Source organism: Homo sapiens, chromosome 12, assembly GCF_000001405.40.
Source record: "Homo sapiens chromosome 12, GRCh38.p14 Primary Assembly".
NCBI classification, from domain to species: Eukaryota; Metazoa; Chordata; class Mammalia; order Primates; family Hominidae; genus Homo; species Homo sapiens.
In genome coordinates, this window is record NC_000012.12 from 40,585,476 (window position 1) to 40,592,950 (window position 7,475).

Here is a 7,475-nt window from a genome sequence, read left to right on the forward strand (position 1 = left end):
AACAATAGAAATTTATTGCCCAAAGTTATGAAGAAAGGTCCTGGCAGATTGGCTGTCTTGTGAGGGCTAACTTCCTGTTTTATAGACAGCACTTTTTCTCTGTGTCCTCACTTAGTTTAAGGGGTGAGAAGTCTCTCTCTGGTGTCTTTTTTTTTTTTAGATGGAGTTTCCCTCTTGTTGCCCAGGCTGGAGCACAGTGACGTGATCTTGACTCACTGCAACTTCCACCTCCCGGGTTCAAGCAATTCTCCTGGCTCAGCCTCCCGAGTAGCTGGGATTACAGGCACCTGCCACCACGCCTGGTTAATTTTTTGTATTTTTAGTAGAGACAGACTTTCATCATGTTGACCAGGCTGGTTTTGAACTCCTGGCCTCAAGCAATCCACCTGTCTTGGCCTCCCAAAGTGCTAGGATTGATTACATGTGTGAGCCACCACGCCTGGCCTCTGGTGTCTTTTATAAGGGTGATTATCCCATTAATTTGGGTTCCACTCCCATGACCTAATTATGTCCTAAAGTCTCCACCTCCTAACATCATTACTGTAGAGGTCAGGGTTCCAACATATGAATTTTGGGGAGACACAAATATTTTTATATGGTATTTAAATCTATAGCTGTGTATTGGAGAGACTTATTTTTCGGTTGTTTTATATTTTTTTTGGAGAGAAGCCTAAATTACTGTTGTATACATGAATCCTTTAGTAATAATTCTTTTTTTAAAACTTTAATTATACCCCATCTTCTTGCAATAAGATTATTTAAAAGAACTTTCAATAAAAAGATAAAAAGGCTATGTGTGGTTTGGGCAAGATCCTAGCAAATGTTGGAAAGGCAGGATAAGGAATAAGAACAGATTTCAATTCGAAGAGTATCCAGCTGTGAGTCAGAAAACACTATAGTATACACTGAGGGCCTGACAAGTGGGTGAATGGAGTTAGGAGTCAAAGTGGGAATTTTGGAGGTCAGGACCCTGTCCATTCATTCATAATCTTTGAAAAGCCATACCCAGGGTCTGGCTTAGACATTTCTGTACTAGTGCCAAACAACCAAAATACAAAAGAGGGAATAGGAAAGACAGGACATAGATAGTAAGTATGCCCAAGCTCACATCTAAGTTACTTGGCTGTCTCACCAAAGATAAACAATGAATTGTATAGCTCTAACCATCTGATATAAAATTATGCAGGATCTGAGAAGAGACAAGCTTTGTCCTAGTTTTGTACCATGAGAATAAATTTTGCCAGATTTTTAGAGTTCATTTTAATACCTTTGGAAAAAATGGGCATGGAGAATGTAAATATTATGAAGGAGATAATGGGGAAAACTGTGCTTATTTAAGTTTCTGACATTTTACTAGGAATAAATATATCTCAAGAAAGCAGATGCTCATTCTATTTATACATCATCATAATTACTAAATATCCATTTATTCAATAAATTTCAGTTGAGCATCTGTGTCTCATGCCCTGTAAGTGGGCCATGAGCATGTTCCTACATTCTTGGATGGTTACATGATGTGATTACAAAGGAGATCAAAGGAACCTACTTTAAATATGACACAATACAGGACCTCTCTGAGGAGATGAGGTTTTGGATAAGACCTGAAAGATGAGAAAGTGCAGGGTATGCTGAGTACTGAGAAAAGAATTATAGGCAGAAGAAACAAGGAAAGGTTGCCATCTTCAAAAAACAAACAAACAAACAAGCAAAAAACAGCAAATAGCTCATGTTGCTCAATTTATTAAGTCAGATAGTGTCCTGAGATGAGGTTGGAGAGCAAGCAGGTGCCAAATATATATGGCATTATATGTCAAGTATGGCTTTTTAATTTTATTCTAATTATAATTTCATCTATCTACCTACATACATATCTACTGGCTGCTGTGTGGAAAATGGATTGGAAAAAGGGTAAAAGAAGAAACATCAAATGTTAAACTTAGCATTTATATATTATGCATAAGGAAGAAATTTATGAAAATGTATCATTTGGTTTACAGATGTGTTTTTCATATTGTAACTCAATGAAGTATTCCTGAATACAGATCACAACTGAGTCATGATTGCTTGCAGCTAAATATGCAAACCATCAAATTATCCAAATGTGTTTATGTCTTCTCTAAACTCTCAACTTGCATTTACCTAACCTCAGGCCAGTAATCCAGCTGATGAGTTGGTCATAATTCAAGCTGACACAATCAATCCAAATTAGTCATGATCTCTGTCATGAAGAAATGTGGAATAAGGGCAGTGGGGCATAACTGATGTTCTCTCCACTGAGGATGAATTATTGTAAATGTCTATAAATAATAACACAATATTTTAGATTTCTTTAGTCCTGTATTTATGTGAGTTATTTTACTTTATTATGTGGGTCAAATTTAAATCCAAACAAACTGTCAAAAACTGTTTAATATTTTATGCTGAAGGTAGGGCTAATAATTCATTTTCTAAGTTTGATTGATTAGAAAAGGGAGAAAATATTTGCAGAATAAAATCAATTAAAATAATTAAGGCTCAGTAACATTTTCCTAAGGAGACTGGATTTCAAGGAATAAGTGAACATAATAATACCTAAACTGTAATGTAAAGAGAAAGTAGGATCCAAATCCATCCCAGATCTAAATCTTGAGTGACTAGTAATCAAATTCAGTGATGTCAACAACCAACGCATGACACGATTTCATTCATTTGTATGAGTAACACAACAGTCAGTACTTCCAAGTTCTTTTTCTTCAATGTGTATATTTTGAATTCTTAAACAGAGACGTTTAAAAGAATTAAGAGCAAGTATGGGCAAATAGGTTCTTCCTTTATGACATTCAGTTCTATAAAAGGACAGAAGACAAGTAAATGCACATTTGAAGGACTTTAGAAACTATTTTATCTACTGCTTGGACAAGCTAATGAATTCTCTAGAGCAAGAGTATGGCAGGTTAATTTATTTCCCATTGACCCAGCAACTAATGTATATAATATTATGGAAACCTTTGTTTATTGCCATGGCAGTGCTAAGTAGGAGGAATTATCCTGAGGTTTGAATGTTCAGTACTTTTTCGACATTCTCTGAAATATTTGACATGTATTTCTGCAGAGGTCTTCTCTCTTGTTACGAGAAACTTATTTTGTTTAATTAAAAACTAAGAAAACATAGACACAACAGCAAATTAGCAAGTATGAATGGTAATTTATAATCCACGGTTAAATTTCATCATGATAGTAGTATAGAAAACAATGCCTTTCTGAACACCACATTTTGCATATTAAAGAATAGTAGAATTAGCAGATAGTTCTCATAAACCACAATCAAATAATTAAAGAATTAGTCTAGGATATACAAATGGTTTCACCCTCAATGTCACCTTTTATGCTTTCTATTTTTTGTTTCAGTGCAAATTCATTAACCTACTCCTTTTGATGCCTGTCCTTCTGTGAAAAGATTCTTTATGCTGAGTGTTCTTCACTTATCACAATATGTGAAGGAAGAGACCACAACTTTCTTCAATCTTTTCAGTTTTCTTCTACCTATTTCTTAGTTTCCCTAAATATCTAAGCATTCTCTGTTCTAAATAATCATGTTCAAGTGCTTTCATTTTCTTGAACATGTCTTTCTATCACATCTGTGTTATCATTTATATTTTTTTCTTCCCTACCTTGTCCATATGGTAAGTATGAACTCATGTAGGAAATCAGTCAAGGTGGTGGGAGAAATTATAGGAGAAACACAAACCGTCTTGGAAAGCCAAGGTTTTGGAAAAGCTTCGAAAGATAATTTGGCTGAAGGCAGCCAAATTCTCTTATCCGGAGCCTGAGAGCAAAAGGTAGATAACAAGGAAGTGTAAAGGAATTGATCTAGATAAGTTAGTTTACTTAGGCCTCGGGACCTGGCCTTTAATCATCTGCGTGCAGGACTGCTCTCTCTGGGGCGGGACGGGGCGGGGCCGGGGGTAGGCGGTGTGGGGGGTGAGTGGGCAGCGACCATGTTAATTACCACAAGAAGTGTGGACTCAAAGCCTTTGTCATTAAATCTGTACTAAATAAATGCCTGCAGTGCCAACTTGTCCTGGCTGTGGCTGCTGTGACTCTTTATGGCACCCTCCTCCGTGTCTGTGAGCAGCCCAGTCCCCTTGCCATGCAGCCAGGCAAAAAGCCTCTGTCTGCATACTTTTTTTAATCCGTCACTTGCCCGGGGTCTGCCAGTCAGACCCAGCAAACTCACCTGTCATTGCTTGTGTTCCACAAGCCCTTTCTCATGAGAATGCCTAACTACTGGAAAAGAAATATTACTTATCAAGAATCTCTGCTTCATCCTGGACACAGATGACTGGATCAGAGTAAATAACTGGTTCAGCTATGGCTCCTCAGATTCTCTTTCCCAGGAATTTGGATTTGGGATACTGAGGGGCTATACAAAACACTTTCAGGAAGTGCAAAAGCAGATACTGTACTGAACGAGACAAACCAATGGTGGTGATGGGAATGAAAAAACCATACAACAGGGGGCATAAGTGACAGTAGCAAACCAAGGACACATGAACACAGAAATAATAGGAAAGCAGGAACTAAGAGTATTAGAGAAGAGAAATAAGTCTGGAAAGAAGCAGAATTGAGAGACCATGGTTTCCTATGGGAAAGAGTCACAGAGAGAATAAACCCACAAATGTGCCATTTTCAAGAGCCCAAGCTGTTTTATTCCTGCAAAGAGAGAGATTTCCTTCCAATCTTTTTACTGGATTTTATTTTTCAGTTTGAGCTAATTGAAGGAGTTTTCTTTGACAGCCCTCTCTCTCCCAGAATGCCTACCTTTTCCTACCCTTCCCCAGTAGAAGGGCCCCTCTGTGTTCAGATGCCTCATTGCTATGATTTCCATTGTTATAGTTCCTTTCTCATTTGGTCTTGAGGTCTCTCTGTCAAGGTTGGGCATAAGCCAAGATAGACACTCTCTAGGAGAGCCCGTACTGAGGGAAAGTTATGTTCCAGTGTGTCCTTCAGGTGAAACACTGAAGGACAGTAAAACCAAATGTATGAAAATACATTGAGAAGGGAAAGATTTTCCTCTAGCACCCCCAGAAAGAAATACAGCCCTACCTACACCTTGATTTTTGCCCAGTGAGACCCATTTTGGTATAGCAGGTAAAACCAAAATGTATGAAACGGAAGAAACATATTACTTAACAGATCCCAGAGAGGCTAGGGGAGCTGGCAGGAGGCTGACAGGAAGATGAGGTGACAAGAAGCTCAACCAGTGGATGGGAAGTGAAAGGGAGTGAAACTTGTGGGACTATGCCTTTATTAAGGCATGGTGTTACCCTTTAGGTTTTTCCTTGAGATTGTGGATTGGCTAGTTTAAGAAAACACAAGCAAGAGGGGGAACATATTTACATGACTCTGGTGTTGACCATTAGATTTTATCATGGTAGCAGCTGTGGGGTGTGTTGGGTTTTTTTAGTTAGTGAGATAAGGAATAGGTGGGCTATATCTCAAACAACCACAGTGGGAAAAATTTTAACTAGGCCAAAAGTGATAGGGTAGGACTGGGTTTCAAACAACTCATGTCAGGTCTAAAAGTGGATGCTGAGGCAGCAACTTCATTAAAGAAATTTATGACACTCATATATCCTATATGTGCTTTTTTTTTTTTTACAACCTCCATTAACCTTTGCTCAATGTACTTTTTTATGTCTGTCTCCATCATGTTGGATACTTAATAAATATTTGTAGAATAAGTGAAAGAGTGAATGAAACAGTGAACAAAATTATTTTAAAATCTCTACTGTATTGTCCCTTAAAGCTAGACTCAGAGATTGGAAAGTTCACATGCAGCCTTCCACTCCAACTTTCTAATTTAAAGATAAGAAAACTCAGCCTTGAGAAATTAGGTGACTGTCCAAGGCCACACAGTTGGTTAGTGGCAAGGTCAGACCTGAAACATAAGTCACTGGTGGTACAATCCAGTGTTCTTTCCAGGAAGCAAACAGAATTTTTCTTTATTTTATATCTTTATTTGTAACCTCACCCCTGATTAAACAAACAATACATGAATTCAATAGTTTTGGAAAGCTGCTTAGAAATATTCATTAAAAGAAAGCATCTGAAACTCTATGGCCCAGAAATTTTGCTCTTAGGTATATACCCAGCAGAAATGTGCCCATATGTTTAACAAGAATGTTCAGAGCAGCCCTAATAATAGTAGCCTCCAAATAGAGACAACTTGAATGTCCATCAACACTGGAGTAGATGAATACACTAGGGTACATTCACAAAATGGAATACTAAATAAATCAATGGGAATGAAAAAAAACTATAACTACATGCAACAATGTAGATGAATCTTACACAAAGTAATATGAAGGCAAATAAACCAGACACAAAATAATATGTACTTTATGATTCCAATTTTTAAAAGTTCAAAACCAGGCAAAATGTATTTATGGCTTTTTTGGACTAGTATGTAGGTTTTGAGTGGTGTTCACTTGAAAGTTAAGAAAAGAAGCCAGAAATCAAGACTAAGAAATATTTAGAACATAGGATGAGTATTAATATTGTTGCATATTTCCAATCATATTTTATGCATGTACACACTATCTGCACTTTTGTAATCCCCAAAGTTCAAAACCCAAGTTTTTTTTATAGCTCATTTGGCAACAAAATTCTGACCTGAACTGAACTCATTTGGTGACAAAGCCTGACCTCAACTGACATGAGGCTATTTATAGTCTTTATTTTTTCACTTGGGGTGAATATTCATACATTTCCTGCAGAAAGATTAATGTGCTTGAATATAGGATGCTGTTGCAGACACTGCTGAGAGTGTTATCTTTAAATCCTAAAAATTCTGAACTTCAAAATACATCTGGTCCTAAGGATTCAATATATGACTTTAGGTATTGTGGTAGGCAAAGTAAAGACTCCCCAAAGATGTTCATATCCTAAACTCTGGAACCTGTGAATATGTTAAGTTACATGGCAAGGTGGAATTAAGGTTGCAGATGAATTAAGGTTGCCAATTAGCTGATGCTGAGATGAAAGATAATCCTGAATTAACTTGGTGGGCCCAATGTAATCACAAGGGTTCTTATGAGTGAAGATGGAGACAGAAAAGAGAGAACCAGAGACAGCAGTGTGAGAAGACTCGGCCCAACACGGCTGACTTTGAAGATGAAGAAAGAGGGTCATAAGCCAAAGAATGTAAGTAGCCTCTGAAAGCTTAAAAAGGTCAAGAAAAAGATTTTTCTCTAGCACCCCCAGAAAGAAATACAGCCCTACCTACACCTTTATTTTTGCCCAGTGAGACCCATTTTGGTAGTAATTTGGTAGTTTGTTATGGCAACAATAAGAAACTAATACATCTATATTTATATTATATATACATATATACACATGTATGTACCATGAAATTTATACACATATGTATGTGTGTATATATGTGTGTATGCATTTAGATATATAGTGTGTATATATGCTTATACACATTTTTA